Source organism: Homo sapiens, chromosome 1 (genome assembly GCF_000001405.40).
Source record: "Homo sapiens chromosome 1, GRCh38.p14 Primary Assembly".
NCBI lineage: Eukaryota > Metazoa > Chordata > Mammalia > Primates > Hominidae > Homo > Homo sapiens.
The window spans coordinates 244,127,279-244,147,744 of NC_000001.11; positions in this window are offsets into that span (position 1 = coordinate 244,127,279).

The window sequence follows — 20,466 nt, forward strand, 5'->3', positions numbered from 1 at the left end:
GGGGAAAACAAGAAAATTCTTTTTTAACAACAAGGAATGTCACATCATGTGCCACTGTGCATATGGAAGTGCTCCTTGGTGATGTCAGTGACACTTTAAATACTTAGCAAGAATGCATGTTGCAATAACATATGAAAGATGCAGGGAATAATGGAAAAGGAGAGTGCTAAGAATGATGATAACTGATGAGTTGATTCCCAGGGTGCTCTGCCAGAGATTCTGATCTAGGATCAACCTCACTACATTAAGGATAGCAAAGAGTGTCTTAAGGGGTTTGGACAATTAAGGTATTACAAATAAATATAAAGGAATGAGTTCCGTGTGGGTGAACGCTGTTCTGGAAAATGGGGTATATCTCTTAGGATGCAACTTTGATCTTGAAAACTCATATTAAGTTGGAAAGATTCTTTGAATGTTTACCTCCTCTGTTGACTTGGAGTTGAGTGCCTTAGCCTTCCCGTAATCCTCCAAATTTGTTTTGTGTGCTGACTTTGCCCTAATGAGGCCCACCTTCCTCTGTATCCCCAGCTCTGACTCCCAAAAGCCTTCCTGCAGGGAGTGAATAGGTGGCGAGGATGTCACTGAAAAGGTCGCTTCTCTGGTTAACTGCTGGCCATCTAGCATCTGGCAAGGGGGTTGCAGGTCACAGATGTCTCATGCTGGCGCCGTCACTATTCCAAGAGAGAACAGTAGAAGGATCAGTGTCCCCACCCCCTCCCGGAGGCCACACATCTTTGTCTCCTACACAAGACTTCATTTGTGCTTTCAGTAGCAAAACCTTGAAATATTTAGTCTTAAGAAACCCACATCTATTTGCTATGTGCAGGGTCCTTTTGTGTGGCAGCCTCACTAGTGCCCTGATCATAAGTGAGCAGCCACCTCTTGACTCTCCCGGACTCTGAAAGATTTGACTCACTGTCCACATCGCTCCAAAAGGCTCCTGGTTTGCAGACACTTCTCAAGCCACCCTGGGAGCAGAAAAAGGTTCATGGGCCAGATCCAGGGTCACCGAGTCAGAGAGGTTCTCAGGGCAGTCATCCTTTCTTCAGAATCAGACAAGTCAACCAGCTACCCCAGCTGCCTTCCTAGACTCTCAGTGAGCAGCAAGGTCACAAAAAAAGAAAAAATGCCGAAAGGTAAGCATGGATTTTCAAGGCAAGAACTTCAAAGCCTTGCTTTTGCCCCCAGCAGAGCCAGAGGTCTCAGAGTGAAGGGAAAGTCTCACTCTCTCAAGGTGAATTTTGGGTTGCCAACCACCCAGCTCTTTTAACCACAGTGATTCTCCCCAGATGTTCTCTCTTAAATGCAAAGGCATCATTTTCTTGCCAAGAAACGGAATGATTGATCAAGCCTCCTTTAAATCATTTCATCTTATCCATTCCCATCTGAAGGAGCAGATATTGCATTAATATTAATATTCTTATTGTGTCCCTTGAGAGAGAAATGCCCCCTTAACCCCCCGCCCAATTACTGCCATCACTACAGGGATATGAAGTCAGAGGAGGAAGCTACCAGTGGAGGGGCTGCAGTTGTTTTATTAGCAACAGCTGGTGGCAGTCCCCTGCCTGAACCACCCCCCCTTCTTTTTAAAAATGCTATGCTTGTCAGATCCAGCTTCTTGAGACTGGATGGCAAAGGGTAAGACAGGAACACGGCATATTTCAGCTTTTGCATGCAGAAAAAGGGATTTATGCTAAAGAGGGTGCAGGCTGCATTCAATGCTGATTAAAAAACTTTACAAAAGATTATTTGCTCTCAATATTATGTAGGTAACATTTGAGCAATTACACAAACATATAGAGTAACTGAAACCACCTGTAGGATTTGAAAAAATATTCCGTCTTTCCTTCTCATTTGTCCAGGATGCTTTAATAGGAAGAAAAATGTGGGCAGCACATGTCTTAGATTTATCCTTATTGTAACTTTACGTATGTTTACGATCAAGGGTGGAGTTTGCAACACCAGGGCTCCTTCTGTGTTGGAAAGAGTTGACCATCAAAAGGAAATCTGTGCCATTTGCCCAGTGGAGAAATAAATCTTCCTTTACTCACTTTTGCCCTGGTTCCTATCTAAGAAGTCCAAATGAACCCTGTTTCATCTTATTTCATCTTTAGAATTCCAGGTAACATTTTTAGGTGTACTAAATTCACATGTGGAATGTAGATTTGAGAGAAACTTTTGGCCAGTTAAACAGCTTTGTCATTGCAGCTATTTCATTTTCATTTATTTTTTCTAATCTGATGAAAATTGGGTGAATTTCATGTATGTATGAAATCACTGAGCCCATACCATACGGTCAGAGTGATGCAACTGTCCCGATTTCATAAAATACCACTTATATATCACATAAATAAGAAAATATGAATTTCAGTAGGAAAACATAAGTATTAGTAGGAAAAAGGCATGGTTAAGTAATGTATTGCTTGCTTAGGTCTATAAATAATGACTGTTGGGAAGAACATGGTTAACGTAATTCAAAATGTGGATCCATTATATGCCTGCCTCTTGGGGAGAGAGAAAAGAATCATGCTAAATAGAAAGAAATCTTGGCGTCCTCCTTATTTCTTTCATGTGTAACACATTTAAGATGTGCATTTCTTCCCTATGGCTCAAATACTATTAATTTTTATAGTTAAAAATTAATTATAATAATTCTTAAGTTTTGAATTCTAATAATTCCTAAGTATAACAGCAACACTTATGGGACTAATGCTTGATAACTCCATGGAACCTTAAAAATAGTAGCAACAATAGCACTGGGAGATGCAAGCTCCCTCTCTAGATAGGGCTGCTTCATGGATTGTGTGTTCCCTGATCTTCTTTTCATGCTCAGATCATCAGGAAGTTTGTTGCGAAGAAAGCGCAGACCCCTGCTGTTGGCTGCCATGGTCTGTCTGTGTGATACTTTAGTGGGTGCAGATATGAGGGTATTCATTTGCTTCTTTTTTATCCTTCCACTCTTTAAAAAATGTATCTATTTTACTTAAATAGACATAAAACCGTATGTATTTATCACATACAACATGACGTTTTGAAGTATATATATGTGGTGGAATAGCTAAATCCAGCTAACTAACAAATGCATTACCTCACGTAGTTATTTTTGTGTGAGAACTCTATTCACTCTCTTAGTTTTCAAGAAAACAATATATCATCATGAACTACAGTCACCTTGCTGTACAATAGATCTCTTGCACTTGTTCCTCCTGTCTAACTGTAAATATGCATGCTTTAATCCACATCTCTGCCTGCCTTCTTCCCCTCAACTACCCTAGTCTCTACTAATCACCACTCTACTCTCTACTTCTATGAAATCAACTTTTTTAGATTCCATATATGAGTGAGGTCATGCAGGATTCGTCTTATTTGTCTTGCTGTGCCTAGCTTATTTTACTTAACATATCTGCTAGATTCATCCATGTTGTCACAAATGACAGGATTTCATTCTTTTTTTATGGCTGAAGAGTATTCCATTATGTATAGATACCACATCGTCTTTATCCATTCATCCACTGATGGACACTTAGGTTGCTTCCATATCTTGGCTATTGTGAATAGTGCTGCATGGGAGTGCAGATATTTCTTCAACATACTGATTTCATTTCCTTTGGATAGGTAACCCATAGTGGGATTGCTGGATCATATGGTAATTCTATTTTTAATGTTTTCAGACACCTCTATACTGTTTTCCATAATGGCTGTACTGATTTATATTCCCACTAACAGTGTGTGAGTGTTGTTTTCTCCGCATCCTCATCAACACTTCCTATCTTTTGTCTTTTTTATAATAGCCATCCTAACAATAATGAAGTGATATCACATTGTTGTTTTGATTTGCATTCCCTGATGATTAGTGATGTTGAGTATTTTTTTCATATACTTGTTAGCTATTTGTATGTCTTCTTTTAAGAAATGTATATTCAGGTCTTTTGTCCATTTTTAAAATCGGGTTATTTCTTTTCTTGCTATTGCATTGTTTGAGTTTCTTATATATTTTGGTTATTAATCCCTTATCAGATGTATAGCTTGAAAATATTTTCTCCCATTCTGTAGGTTATCTCTTCACTCTGTTGTTTTCTTTGCTGTGCAGAAGCTTTTTAGTTTGATGTCATCCCATTTGTCTATGTTTGTTTTTGCTGCCTGTGATTTTGAGGTCATATCCAAAAAATCATTGCCCAGACCAATGTCTTGGAGCTTTTTCTCTATGTTTTCTCCCAGCAGTTTCATCATTTCGGGTCTTACACTTAAGACTTTAATCCATTTTGAGTTTATTTATGTGTATAGTGAGAGATGTGTATAGTTCCATTCTTCTGCATGTGGATATCCAGTTTTTCTGACACTGTTTATTGACAAGTCTGTTCTTTCCTCCGTTGTGTGTCCTTGGCACCTTTGTCAAAATCAGTTGGCTATAAATGCATGGATTTATTTCTGGGCCCTCTATTCTATTCCATAGGTTGATGTACCTGTTTTTATGTCAGTACCATATTGTTTTGTTTTGGTTTTCTTTTTCTTGTTCCTCCATAAAAACAAATGAGTACCATATTGTTTTAGTTATTATACCTTTGTAGTATATTTTGAAGTCAGGTAGTGTGATGCCTCTAGCTTTGTTCTTTTTGCTCAAAATTGCTTTGTCCATTAGGGGTCTTTTGTGAATCCACAGGAATTTCAGGATTGTTTTTTATACTTCTGTGAAGAATTTCATTGGCATTTGTATTAGTCTGTCTTGCATTGCTATAAAGGAATACCTTAGGCTGGGTACTTTATAAAGAAAAGATATTTATTTAGCTCATGATTCTGCAGGCTGTGCAAGAAGCATGACACTGGCATCTGCTTGGTTTCTGGTGGAGGCTTCAGAAAGCTTTTGCTCATGATGGAAGGCAAAAGGGGAATAGGCATGTCACATGGCGAAAGAAAGAACAGGAGAGATGTCAGGCTCTTTTAAACAACCAGCTCTCACATGAACTAATAGAGAGAACTCACTCATTACCATGGGGAGGGTAGCTAGCCATTTACGAGGGATCTGGCCCCATGACCGAAACACTCTCCACTAGATCCCACCTCCAACATTGGGGATCACATTGGAACATGAGATCTGGAGGGAACAAACAAGCAAACTATATCTGTATTTTAATAGAAATTGCATTGAATTTGTAGATTAGTTTTGGTAGTATGGACATTTTAACAACATTTACTCTTCCAATCCATGAACATGAGGTATCTTTTCATTTATCTGAATCTTGTGCAATTTCTTTCATGAATGTTTTGTAGTTTTTAGTATAGATGCCTTTCGCCTCTTTGCTTAAATTTATTCCTAAGTGTTTTTTTTTTTTGTAGTTACTGTAAATAGGATTATTTCTTGATTTTTCATGGGCTTCTTATAACTTAGAAACACAAATTTTCAGGAGGGAGAAGGCACTGTATCCTAAAGAATATTATTTTTAGACACCCTAAAAATTACTGTGGTAGGCAAGATAATGCTTCACCCCCAAACAAAGTCAGCATCCTAATCTCTGAACTGGTGAATATATTACCTTACACAACAAAAGAGACTTTGCAGGTGTGATTAAATTAAGGGCCTGGAGATGGGGGATGATCCTGGATTATGCAGGTGGCCCAATGTAATCACAGAAGTTCTTGAAAGTGGCAGAGGGAGGCAGAAGAAGAGCCTAGAGGAGGTGTGATTACAGAGCAAGGGTCAGAGTGATGTGATATGAGAAGGACTCAAAGTTGTTGGCTTTGAAAACAGAGAAAGGGATCATGAGCCAAGGAATGCAGGCATCCTCTAGAAAGTGGAGAAGGCTGGGAAATGGACTCTCTGCTAAAGCCCCAGAAAGAATCAGAGCCTTATGAAACCATGGTTTCCTTTATTTTAAATTTTTAAATTTTTTATATTTTTGAGACAGGTTCTCATTCTGTCACCTAGGCTGGAGTGCAGTGACACAAACATGGCTCACTGTAGCCTTGACCTCCTGGGCTCAAGTGATCCTTCCCACCTCAGCCTCCTGAGTAGCTGGGACCACAGGTATGCACCACCATGCCCGGCTAGTTTTTTTTTATTTTTTATTTTGAGATGGGATCTCACTGTGTTGCCCATGCTGGTCTCAAACTCCTGGGCTCCATGATTTTAGCCCAGTGAGACCTGTGCCAGACTTTGGTCCTGCAGAACAGTAAGGCAATACATGTGTGTTGTTTTAAGCCACTGAGCTTGTGATAATTTGTTACAGCGGCAATAGGAGACTAATCTACTTGGGATACATGTTACTTTTTGTTTCTGAGGATTCTGTTTGGAATTATGACTCTGAGTGCCTCTAGAACATGTTGCATCAGGAAAACTCAGCAAGACTCAAACCAAGACAGAGAAGAAAGTGAATATGGAAAGATGAGGATGTGGCCTAAGTGAGTAAGTACAACAGAACTATTTATCATTTCAGTTATATTTTCTGACAGTCCCTTAGAGGAAGCTGTGATTTTAGTTTCAAGAAATGGTACACCTTCGGTTGACATTATTGACATTTGGTTTTATTTAGAATTTAAAGAGTATGACAATATGCTTTCATGTTAATGATTTAGCAGACAGTAATACAAAAATCTGAATTTTAATGCCTTCATTTTTGGTTAATATGTTTATCTCACAGCAAACTAAACAGACAACAGCAAAATCAATATCTTTAATGTTATTCAAGGGCCATCTTTTAAATCTGTGGGAGAAGTCTTGATCAAACAGTTCCTTTTTGTTTCATTCTCTTTCATCAGTGAAGTGAGAGGTGGAAAAGATCTACTAGATCATAAATTAATGATCCTGTGTTAATGCAGATGTCCCCGCTAATTAATGACAGCAAAATGCAAAGCTTGAGCATATTGAAATATCTTGCAGTCTAGGAAAAAGGTTAAAAATTATTTACCCCATACCTACCCAAAATTTGTTGCTGTTTTACACAAAAAGTAGACATAAAGCCCTGACTTGAAATCTTAATCTCAGTGATTCTTTTTAAACAGATTTCTTCTCTAACTGGGGGTCAGGCAGAATTGGGCAACCTCAGAGCAGACACAGGGAACTCCCGTGATACTCTGTCACTAGGCAGAGTTGTTGCAGCTCAGCTACTTTGTGTTTTTCCCCAGTCCCTTTGCTGGTTACACTGATTTCCTGCGAGTGGGTGCCAGATATGCCACTGGGAGCTATAGGGCTCAGAAAAGATGCATTGCCTGAATGAGGGGGGAGGTGTAACTTTACAAAATAGTATACTTAGAAATGGATGCTAATAACAATCAACATAAGTAAATATAGAATCCAGATGTCCTTGATGACCTATCTTCAGAAATGACACACCATCATTTCTATAGTATCCTATTGGTTCCACTGATTGCCACTACTTATTGTAGGCATGGACTACACAGGGGTCCGAATGCAAAGAGGTGAGAATGACAGAGAATGATTTTAGAGGCTGACTACCACAGATAGGTTATTTTCCTTCAAAGACATTGATACCATTTAGCTACAGAACCCTTGAGTCTTCAAGCTACAGAACCCTTCCTTTAGAACTAGAACATTTACATAGTTGTCTGCTCACGTTGTCTTCTTCCAGAGTGATGGCACCGAAGATCATGATGTAGGGTCTTGAATGGAAAGATCAATATCAATGTTATGGAAAGAATTATCCACCAAGTAACTCAAGCCCATGAATAATCTATTCTATGTTCTAGTAGAGAACCTTTCTTTTTTCTTAAGGCAAACAAGCAAACAACAACAACAAAACACCTTGTGCTTGAGGTTAAACCAAATACTTCAAGACTTGCCATTTGGAAAGTTGCTGAGCTTATGTGGATTAAGGAAGAATGTCGTAGTCTCTTTTACATTCTTGACAAAAGTCTTTTAGATAGCTAATGGATAATTCAAGGCTCTGACACTGATGAAATTATCAAATGTGAAGCAGTGGTGAACACAATTTCAAAATCATCAGCCAAGTCTTAGAGGTGAGCACATGCCAACATCAAAAGCAATGAGACGCGATGGGATGTGGTGTTTCTTTATGTACCAGAGAAGTAAAACCAGGTACATTGATGCTAAGCATAGCATGTGCATCATAAATTCAACAAGTATCAAGATTTTGTGTCCAAGTCAGGCTTTTGTTTGGCAACAAAACTCTTTTACAGTTTTGGAGATGTCAATGGCCTTTGAGGTTTCCAGAAAAGACTGACAGCATAGGAATTCTCTGATAGCATCAGTGTGCACCTAATGGACAAAAATCAAAAGGTAGATGTGTTGAAAGACTTCAATAACTATCTTCAAGGGAAATGGCTTATTAGCCAATTCTTCCACGACCTTCATCAAATAATAGAAAGAAATGCTGGTGATTCTGAAGTAGATGACTTTATTTGACAGGAATACTGTTTTAATATTCCTTCTCTGATCCAAACTATATCTCTTTTAACTACTTTCCAGGACAAAGTTTTCATAATTGTGTGTGAATTCTTTTCCTAAGGAATATTATAAACATCTTGGAGAAATGTATGAAAACAAAGTTTTGTGTTGAAGTGAAGCTGCGTTTTGGTAAGGTTCCCGCCAAAAATAACTACCTTGCCCGATGTTGTTGAGCGGCTGGACAGTTTTGCTGGATTTGTGCTTTCACCAGGAGGATCCAGGCCACACAGGAGCACTGTGGCGTTTGTATCTCCTGATGTTCAATAGTGAAAGTAGAAATAAAGACATGGAAGACTTATCATTTGTTTCTTTTCCATGACATTTCCCCTAACTGAACTTGGGCCTATGTGAAAAGGTAGAGATGTCAGGTTATACTTCCTTTCGTTATGATCTATAGGACACTAATCTCAGTGCCATATCATGGTAATAATGATTACTTTTACCTTACTTGACCATGTACAATGGAATCCCTTGTACTTGTTTGAAGCAAAATATCTTAATAACATGATTGATATTAAACACGATTTTTTTTTAAGAGACAGAGTCTTGCTCTTTCACCCAGGCTGGAGTACAGTGGTGCAATCACAGCTCACTGCAGACTTGACCTTTTGGGCTCAAGCGATCCTCCCACCCCAGCCTCCTCAGTAGCTGGGACCACAGGCACAGAGTATCACACCTGGCTAATTTTTTTTTTTTATTATTTTTTGTAGAGATGGGGGTCTCCCTATGTTGCCAGGGTGCTCTCGAACTGCTGGACTCAAGTGATCCTTGGCCTTCCAAAGTGCTGGGATTATAGGCATGAGCCACCGCACTCAGCCATCAAACACTATTTTTAATGAAAGCAATTATCAAAGTAACAAAAAGGCAGATCGAAGAAAAATAATGTTCTCCCAAGGCTCACCCATGAATTCCCTAGGAAACCTTGCCCCATTCATTTAGTTTTTTGTCTTTTCCTCACGAGACTGAATTTCTTGTGGGCCTTAATTTCTTTGTCACTGCAAGATTTAGTTGTTTCTTACGCTAGAAACACCAGCACCCCAGAAGCCCCTTGGAATCATTCACCCCTATTCCCCAAAGAGTTACTACTCTGACTTTTAATAGCATAGATTAGTTTTGACTATTTTGTACTTTATATAAATGAAATGATACCATTTTTACCTTTAGGTCCTTCTAATATTCTGCCTGGATTGTGGTATTTTATAAATTTTGTGTGTGTTTTCAATGATGAGGATGCAAGCTCCTTTATGTAACTTCTCGGTAGAAAAAAGCAGAATCTGGAACAGTGCCTTCAACAGAATACATTAAACTGAATGCTCCTAAACCTATTCAATTCAGCCAAGCTGGTGGAGATGCAGACTTGATACCTTACCATGAACTCGTCGGAGGATGGGGATCTAGTTTTCTATTCTAGTCATCTTTCCTAGACACCACTCTGTGTGTGTGTGTGTGTGTGTGTGTATGCACATGTGTGCATAGAATTATTCTGAGACAATTCATCACTGCCTAATTTAACCAACATTTCTGAAAATATGCATGATAATAAAAAATAAGGGATTTTTCCCCCATCCTAATAGTATTAATGGAGGATTCATCAGACTGGAGTTAACTTACAGCTGACTTTTGGGATTTATCTGAAACACTATTCTTAGCCTTGTAGCTTCCTTCTGGTGACTTTATTAATTGATCAGATAAGAGTGTCATGGGGCCCCACTAGTGATGATGGGACCAGTGGGTTGTTTTCCTCTCCAATCTAGGAAACAGCTGGGTGTGTTTCACAGCTGCCATGACACTGTGAAAAGATCCTTACACCCGTTTCCTATGCTGCTTTTCCTTTTTGTTTGTTTGTCTGACATATTACCACCATTAATGCTTGCCAGAAGCTAGGCAAATCTTTTGTCAAAAACCAACCTGCAACTCTACAGAGAATATTTTTCTGGATCACTTACTTTCATTTTGAGCGTTTTTAGAAGCCTTTTTAGAAGGCTTTTGAATTCCCAGTATTCTGGGAGGCATTGACTTCTGCTGTGCACTCAGGACCATAGCAAATGGGTTGTTCTGAGAGATAAGGAAAGAAGCCCTTGAAATGTAGCTTCTTAATGGAGCCATTCTGCGAAGGATTGACCTGACAAACAGCTCCGATGTATTCACTGCGGATGTTCATCTCTAAACAGCCACACACATTTCCTGCAGAGTCATGGTAGTGCAAGCTGCTTCAAGTACATTGAGGGAGTGGGAAGACAGTGGTTGAATAATACGGGAGCTCCAGCTGAGAGATGCCTGTGGTACAGCTCTGGATTGCGGTGGACAGAGCTTCAGATCTGTTGAGTTTGAGAGTCATAGCCAAGATTTCCTGCTCACTGCTTCTACTGTTATTCCCATTGTTAGTTGCTGGCATCTCATATCTTAGATCATTAATCCATCCGCTGGCTCCCTATTGCTAATCCCTTATAGGCAAGACTTTGAGACTGTCCCTTCAAGATTCAGAGGGTCATTTCTGGCCCTCTCCTCCACTTTTTCTACACACTGATACTCTTTCCTATTATTCATAAAGCGATAGATCATAAACATGCTCTTAAGCAAGAGTGCTAATCAACCAAGCAGCACTGCCGGTGAGTTGGTTCATATTTTGTTCCTTCCATTGGGTTCCAGCTGCGCTCTTCCTGTTTTACCAATTAGGTGAATGGGAGAGGTGTGAGGCATGGTGAGCCCAGCAACAGATACAGAAACACCTTGTCTCTTCATTTGCTTTTGTTGTGAAGGTGACCATCAGGGGGACTGTGTACAGTGCCAAAGAGTGGCCTGTCCATCTCCCTTAGTTATGACGGCAGCAAATAACAAAGTCTCCATGTGGACGCAAGGGCTTTCTACAGTTTAAACCAAGACAATGGGAAAGTATGTTTTCTTGGCCCTTTGCAGGAAATCCTGCCCAACACAGGAAAGAATGGAGCATTTCCCGGACCGTGGGCTGCCCGGGCCTGGCTTTCTAGGGTGGGCTTGAGCAAACCCGGTAAAAGATGCTTATCCTCTTACCGAATAAGAAAACCCAGCAACATCACCCATGCCCAGAGGTGCTAATGTTCAGCAAAGCCCCAACATGAATTAGCTGGAACATACAAAAAATGATATGTATGATTCAGAATAGACTAAAGGAGAGATGTACATCTGACCTTGACTTTGCCCATTTTCTCTGCTTAGTTTTCAGCATGTTACAAAAATACCTCTCCACCAAGAAAAACAGGAGAAGATACTACTTGGAAAGAAAGGAAAGTGAGATCTGTCTCATGACATTAGAAACAGATGATTGCTCAATATCTTTATTCTGAAAGCCATGGCTTCTAAATTTTTTTTAAAACTGCAAGCTACAATTGTTTTCCCTGGGCCCTGCTGGAAGTCACAGGGTAAATAAGGCACAGCCATCCTTTCCTTTGCTGGTGGCCCTCTCGGATGGTGACATGTCGTAGCAGCAATGGTGCCTCTGAACAAAAATAATGAGAGAAACATCTGTCTCCTGCTACGCTCTTTTCCAGGCAAATGGCACTTAAGATTCTTATTTTAGACTTGTAAGTGCTCCCACAAAAAAGCAGCTTCGGTGTTAACTGCATCTCCTTCTTTCTTTGAATCTGTTGATCACTTTTTCCTTTGCTTGTATTTTAAGACAGTTTAAAAACAAAGATGACAACAAGATACATGCATGTCTCTGGTACTGTGGGATTAAGAAAAAAAAGAGGTGAAGAATACAGTAGAATGGTGTCATGTGGGTGCAGATAATTCTTCCGTCCTTGTTAAAAGAAATTGGGAGAGGCAATGTTTTGGAAATGTTTATACCTAATATATTGTAGAGGCTTGAAAATTACCAAGTAAACCAGATCATGAATGAAATAGTGTTGCTAGCGGTGCTCTCTTGTAGTCAGGGATCATAGTCCAAATATTGAGGAGGACCTACTCTTGTCTGTTTCTCTCTCTCTCTCTTTCTCTCGCTCTCCTGCTCTTTCTCTGTCTTCTCACACATACACACCCTGGCCCCTACACAACTACGACTCACTTTCATCAGGAATTCAGATAATGTCCCCGAGATTAAAGAACGACTTGTGAACTGGCATCTCTGAAGCAGCGAGCTGGAAACACAGGCTTCGTGCTTTCCCACTGGGATATTTAGAAGAGCATATGCATAAAGTGATACCATTTTTTGTTTATTTTGGCTTGCATACAACTAAGACATTTTAGAGCTGGAAGGAACTTCAAAAACGAAGCAGTTCAACCCCTCGGTTTTTCTAATGAGGGAACCGAGGCTCCGCGAAATGCCTCCGTGTGGCCGAGGTGGCAGCGGGGCGCTGGATTCTCACGTCTGGCTTCTCCAGCCGTCTCTTCCCAAGGTCTCTCCGCTCTCTCTGGCTTTTCTTCTCCACCTCCTCAAGCATTTCAGATCGACTTCCTCCTCCACGCCGCTCACGACCTCTTCCCAAAGCATTCTGCTGCTGTTATTTGGAAAATAACGAACACAGAAGCGATGTGTTTCTGCGGATATTTTAGTGCTCACAGACTTGCGGCATCTGACCAGCCTGGGCACAGCACTGTGTGCGCGCATACCGTAGAGTGGGGAGGGCACCCGCATCACAGTCACCTCAGCACCACCCTTCCGCTACCCTTCTTCATTATTTGTAAACAAATATGTTTCTGAAATTTTGTCATGACTTTTAGAAATTAATTTAGGATAACCATTTAACGAGATTTAAGATTGCCTAAAAGGAAGACAGAAGAGTAAACCTGTATAAGTTCAAGTTTATTCTGAAAAAGTTTTTGGTTAATATTACAAGTTGATGTTCTATCCATCCATCCATCCATCCATCCATCCATCCACCCACCCATCCATCCATTTATCCACCCATCTATCCTCCATCATCCATCCACCTACCCCACTCACCCATCCATGCATCCAGCCATCAATCCATCCATCCATCCATTTATCCACCCATCCATCCTCCATCATTGTCCACTTACCCCATCCATCCACCCATCTATCCATTCATCCAACAAGTTTTATTCAACCAACATGTCATTCAAAAACATTTTCTGCATGCATCGTGCCGGTTATTGTGTGCACAATAGGTTACAGAAACACAATCTAGTGGGGAGATAGAAAAGTATGAATAATGAGGCCAGGCGCAGTGGCTCATGCCTACAATCCCAGCACTTTGGAAGACTGAGGTGGGTAGATCACCTGAGGTCGGGAGTTCGAGACCAGCCTGGCCAACACAGCAAAACCCTGTCTCTATTAAAAATACAAAAATTAGCCAGGCCTGGTGGTGCATGTTTGTAATCCCAGCTAGTCAGTGGGGCTAAGGCAGGAGAATTGCTTGAACCCGGGAGGCGGAGGTTGCAGTGAGCCAAGATCATACCACTGCACTCCAGCCTGGGCAGCAGAGAGAGACTCCATCAAAAAAAAAAAAAAAAAAAAAGAAAGAGAGAGAGAAAAGTATGAGTAATGATTATACAATGGGATGGTTGATATGTAGTATACACATAGATACAACATAATGTACTGTTGATAGAGATTTGTGCAAGGCTTTTGACTGAACAGTATAAAAGCCACAACAATGAGTAATAAATATTTCCTGCCAATTAGGAGTTTTAATTAATAGAAAAGATGAGACATGTACACAAAAAACTCTAATACAAGATAAAATATAATGTCATTTGCTCTGAATTTCTCTGTAATTTATAGCATTTTAAAACTTGGGGACAGAAACTCCATGTATAAATATAAGAAAAGATATGAAAGTGGTTGTTGTTATTTTGGAATAGGATGGAAAAAGATCTTGAGGGTCAGAGTGTCTCATGGGTTAAAGGTAATAATTAGCAAAGAGTGCTACAGTTTAAACAAAGAACCTTGTGTGTCTAAGCAAATATAAACTGTTCAGCTAATATAAACTGTGAGAGAATCAGTAGCATCTAGACCAGAGTTGGTCTTCGTGACTTAAGGGAAAATTGGAAGAAATAGAGACATTTGATCTCACAAATGAAAATGAAGGCTGGGCGTGGTGGCTCATGCCTGTAATCCCAGCACTTTGGGAGGCTGAGGCAGGTGGATCTCTTGAGGTCAGGAGCTCAAGACCAGCCTGGCCAACATGGTGAAACTCCATCTCTACTAAATATACAAAAAATTCACCAGGTGTGGTGGCACACACCTGTAGTCCCAGCCACTTGGGAGGCTGTGGCATGAGAATCACTTGAACCCAGAAGGCGGAGGTTGCAGTGATCTGAGATCACATCACTGCACTCCAGCCTGGGTGACAGAGGAAGACTCTGTCTCAGAAAAAAAAAACAAAAACCAAACAAACAAACAAAAAAACACAAAAAACAAAAACAAACAAACAAAACAAAGAGGGTTTCTAATAAAGAAAAGCTTAAAAAACACCTTATTTCACCAGATGAAGAAAAGATGGACATATTCTGATTTCATGCCACAGGGACTTGGGCGAGACTGCTCCTGACACCAACTCCTGCCATGCTCTTGCAGCCTTCAAGAGGAGGAGGGCCGTCACCAAGCCATCTGGTTTGGATGCCAGAGACTGACTTCCTAGGAGACTTTCTGCTTTCATTTTCTTTGGTGTTATCAAATGCGATGTTGAGCCTTCTGGAATTGTTTTGCACTTCATCAAGTCACAAAAAGGAGAGCTATTATCTCCACAATGATGGGAAAAATTCCGCAAGAGGTGAAGCGTTCAGAACCTGGAGATGTAAAACTAATTCTTTTGTTTAGCTGGGCACCAAGTCGTTACTCAAAAGCCCCACCTTTTTGATGTCTTCTGCCCATGAAGCCCATCTAAAAATGAGAAGAGGGTTTTCTGTATGTTTTCTTAAGATGTTTCTTGGAAGAGTGTTTTCTCTCTCGGCTCAGGGCTTTACTAAGTGACATCTCCCTTCTTGCTTTGGTTTTATTGACTTATCTATACATTTCTTATGCCTAGTCTGACTTCCTTAATTCCAAACCCTAATGTTCATTTAATTTTGGATATTTTTAAAGGAGTTTCCAGGCAGCTAGGTTTGCCTTTTTCTCATGCTGAGACTGACCTTTCTGATGCCTTTATCATATTTTCTTGAAGTAGATTTAGCTACTCTGGTATTATTTGCCAGTGAAACCAAAGCACTATGCAAAAGCCTTCCTCTTTCCCTATCTCCTGTCTTAAAATGGGTCATCAAGAATTTTGAATTAATCACTTACTCATCAGTTAGGAGATTGAATGCTCTCTCTACCATTTTCTTCAAGTCCTTTTTATGAAATAAATTAATAAAAATAAAAGCAACAATTCCATTAGAAAAACATAAATTCTTGTCAGTCAAGTCACACTACAGCTAAAAATCCTAATAACCACTTTTCACATTCCACATAGCCTAATTTTTACATTTTAATTGATTGATTTTTAAATGTTTGTTTTTGTTTTTAATTTTGGCCTACAGTCAATTCTCTAAGTGAACACAGTATTCCAAATTGTGTTAAGACAGTGGCTTGACAGGAAGAAAAAATAAAGTTTCAAACTGGGACTTAAAACCATTTCAAATTATTTTCAATAATTTAGCCCTACTTAAGGCATTAAAGATCACAGCATCAAGAGTTGTGAAATATCAAAAGAGGTACAATTTTAAAAATATGTACATTGCCATGATGAAACAGTAGAAGATGAGTGATAAAGACACCACTTAAAAAATGGAACCTGATCTCCACATATGGAAATATCTGAATTGAGCAAAACTATTCTTCTTAAGCTGAGCTCATTGGTTATTTAAGGACTCGTGAATAGATCCATGAATAAAATCCACCTGTGGTGGTTTTAAAACATGGCTGCAAACTCTTTGGCACTCTTCCATTCACAGGTGAAATCTCATTCCCCTCCCTTGAAGATGGGTTGGCTTTACTGACTAGCTTCTAACAAAGAAAGCATGACAGAAGGGATACTGAGTGACTCGTGAGGGTCATTAGAAGGTTGATACAACTTCTATCTAGCTCGCTCGCTCTCTCCCAGGATGCTCGCCCTTGGAACCCAACAGTCATAAGGTAAGGAAGCCCAAGCCACGTGGAGACACCACATGTCAGCGATCTGGCCAATAGCTGAGGTCCCAGCTGTTTGAAAATGTAACTGCAATCTGTTTGAATGAAATGTGGTAAGACACATAGACACAGAAATGACTCTTTTGAAGGAAGAAGTTTTTACCCTCACAGATCCCTGGAAACAGAAGGCACATCACACCATGGGGGATCATACAGGGAAGCGCTAAGGATGGTCAGGAGGCAGAGAGAGTGAGGGGAAAATGTGGGCAAGAGTCTTTATTGTAGTTTCTGTGGGAAGGAAAAGAAAGGCAGGCTGAGCAGGTTTAGGATTGGCTTGAGTAATTTCGGTGGTCTCTAGAATATAAGGGTAGTCTCTAGTTGTCTGTTCCCTGAGCAGATAGGTAAGTGGCCCAAGCTGGAAAAGCTCAATAAAGGAGGTGGTTGGGGTACAGGGCTCTGGATTGGCTGGGGTACAGGGCTCTGAACTGGTTGGTTTGCATATGAAAGTCATTCATTATCTCTATGAATCAGCTAGCCCTGAGAGGGGAAGTCCCTTTAGTGCCAGCAAGACCCTTGCTGTCCAAGTACCAGGATAAAATATATGCTTAATACACCAGCTGGCCATCAGCCTCAACTGCCCGACATGTGAGTGAGCAAGGCTTTGAGTTGACTCCAGCCTCAGTCACTGTAATCTGACTACAGCCACTTGAGAGGCCCTGAGTGAGAAATGTCAAATTGAACTATGTCTGCCTCCCAAACCCAGGATAGACAACAACAACAACGATAATGATAAACGGTCACTTTTGGTGCTTTATGCCAGCAGTGGGTGGCTTGTTATGCAGCAATGGGTAAGTGGAACACCTTCGGTTTAAGGAATTGACATTGCATAAATCACCTTTACGTGCTAATACTTATACTTTCAACATTTAGAGAAATTGTAGGTAATATGGTTTACGTTATACATTCTCACATATAAGTCATTCTCCATATGATATCCTTTTAACAGCTTAATTATGGCATTTCTGGAATGTTTTAAGCACATAGATTGTCCTTTAAACCATAACGTCTATTTTGAAGCAAATTACTCTCATCAGTTACTATATACAAATAAAGATGTTCATTTTAGCTAAGAGCCATTGAAGATGAGAACATGGCTGCTTGAAGACACTAACATTATGGGGCAAAAACTGATTGGGCTCCTCTCTAGAGAGCATTCATAAAATTATTTTTGCTTGTACCTAAGAGGCCATTGCAGTAGCCTTGGAAGAACAGCAAAAGGGTGCAGGATTGATGCCTGGGCTTACCCAGATTGGTGAGGCTGAGCTGTCTCCCTCATCAGCTATTTATTCACTTTCATAAAGAGCAGTCCCTGTGGCTTTGGGCCCCACTCATCAGCTTGTTTCTGCTCTTAGCCACTCTGCTAGCACCACAGAGGCTGGCCCTGGAGATGAACTTGCTCAGCTCACCACCCAGGAAGAAGATTCATTCCTGGAGCTGATGCTCATGGGGTGTGTGATGGTCACAAAATAGCAGGTGGTCAGAGGGTCTTCACTCAAGGGGTGCTAACGACCCTTGTTCACCTCACCTGAATCCGGAAGGGCAGCCCCTCTTGCAATAAAAGGAGGGGAAGCCTCAGGCCTTCCCTCTGTCCTCCTCTCTAAGCATCTCTGGATGAGGAGGTCTAACAAAGGCCAGGTACTGGATGCTGCAGAGTATGACCCAGGTGCGCCTCCAGCTCCTCTGCCTCCTACCCTTTCTACAGTCTTTCTCCCATCCCCACTCCAGGTGTCCCTGCCCCAGTATTATCTGGGATTTCTGATGTTACCTCAGCTTCTGAGACCCAAAATTATGTTGCTCAAGTGGTGAAAAGTCAGGTGAGAGTTGGGGATTCAGGGACTGGAGAGCTGTGCCTAGAAGCTCTTCTAATCAGGCCAACCTGGTTATCACCAGCTCAGTGTCCTATGAGGCCACCCTGCTCTGTGGAATTACTCCATTGAGAAGTTCCTGTTCTCCCATCTACCACATGAAAAGACAATCTGGAAAAAAAACACAACTCAAAACATTTCAGGAAACATAATTTTAAATGCCACAAACTACAGGTTTAAAGCATTATTTTGCAAATCCTAAAATTCTGACATTAACATTTTAATAAGTTGTTATTCACACATTTTCAAAATAAAGCCTGAAATTGTCCATAAAGGAAATCTCTTCAGAGGCAAAGTAAGGAGTTCTCCTTCAAGTTCACCTAAATGACCTCAAATGTTTTTACCTTTAAAGACTATGCATCGTCTTGTAGCCCCAGTTGCTAGCGACATAGCAGGTGTTCATTGTTGTGTGGATGAATGAGTGAATGGGAGAGAAAAAGATATGGCATCTTTAAAAATCAGAGAAGTAACTTATGCACTCAACCAAATAGACCAAGGATGATTGATACTTCTTTTAACACCAAATACTGGAATGAAGAACTATTTGAGACAGGATCTATACTACTAATTAAATTGACAGCAGTAGCCAATTGTGCCTGAATCTGGCTGCTCTGTGATCAACAACTACCACCCCACCACCACACACACACAACATCCTGCCAAGTGAATAATCTTCTCGTTAATTCAATTAAGCTGTTCAGAAATTGATGTCTTGTTAGATGCAGGGGCTGGTTTTCTAGAAAGCTTCATGACTTGATTAAATATGCTCTTTATTCAGATACAGGTTAGGGTTTAGGTCGAAGGCAAACGAAGAATTTGTTTTTGTTTTTGTTTTTGTTTTTGTTTCCGAGACAGGGTCTCGCTCTGTTGCCCAGGCTGGAATGCAGTGGCATGATCATGGCTCACTGCGGCCTCAAACTCCCGGGCTCAAGCCATCTCCTTGTCCCGATCTCCTAAGTAGCTGGGACCACAGACGCATGCCACTATGTCCAGCTAATTTTTGAAATTTTTTAAAGAGAGGGGAGGTCTCACTATGTTGCTCAGGCTGGTCTCAGGCTACCAATCCTCCCACCTAGGCCTCCCAAAATGCTGGGGTTTCAGGCATGAGCCACCACGCCCAGCCAGAGTTTTGATGACTACTTTAGTTGCTTCTTGTCATTTAATTTATGATCTCAGCGTTGGCTACCTGTAAATAAATTTGAAAATTTTTCTTTCATGCTATTACTGCTATTATGAGCCTATAAATCACCACAGGCTAAAACGCAATCTTCCAAACAATGATTTGTGTCTATATTAAATGCAAATGCAAAGATATATAAATATATTCACAAATAATTCATTTAAATACTCAATAGCGCTATTGGAAAATCCTGGACTATAAGTGTGGGCAGAAACCAATGAATGTAACTGTGTTCTGTTGGCTAAGTAAATGCATAGTGAAATGTGGGTTCTACATAAGTACCTTGAAAACCAACACTTTCAAAGAAGGAAGAGAGGGAGTGAATAAATGCAAAGACCCAAACTGTACAATGCCTCTTAGGCTTAACTATATAAGGAGTTGAAATTGCTATTTAATTATTTATATACTATAAGTATCTTTAAAAAATAAAAAGGGTAGTGATTTCAACGGCTTGTAATGAAATAACAGGTATAATAAGGTCCCAAACCATTAACAAAAGATTAAAGAAAAAAAACAACCCATAGCCAAGAAGATAGGGAAGAGAAGGTCAAGAAATCCTGTTGAGAACAGCTATACCATTTTTAGTTATTGTTTTAATGTTCACCTTTGGCATGAAATGACAGTATAGCAGTGACAAGAAGTGTATCTTACCTCCATTATTTAATAGCCTTGTGATTTGGGGCAAACTTCTTTAACCTCTGTATGCCTCACTTCCCCCATTTGTAAAACATGGAGAAGAATAGTACCTATCTCATTAGAATCGTTAAGAGAGTAAGATGCGTTAATGTGTATGAAGTGCTTAGAATGGTGCCTGGCACATCATGAGCTCTGTCTGAGTGTTTGTTAAATAAAAATATTTTTTTATTCAATGATATCATTCCCAGAGTAAGCCTGA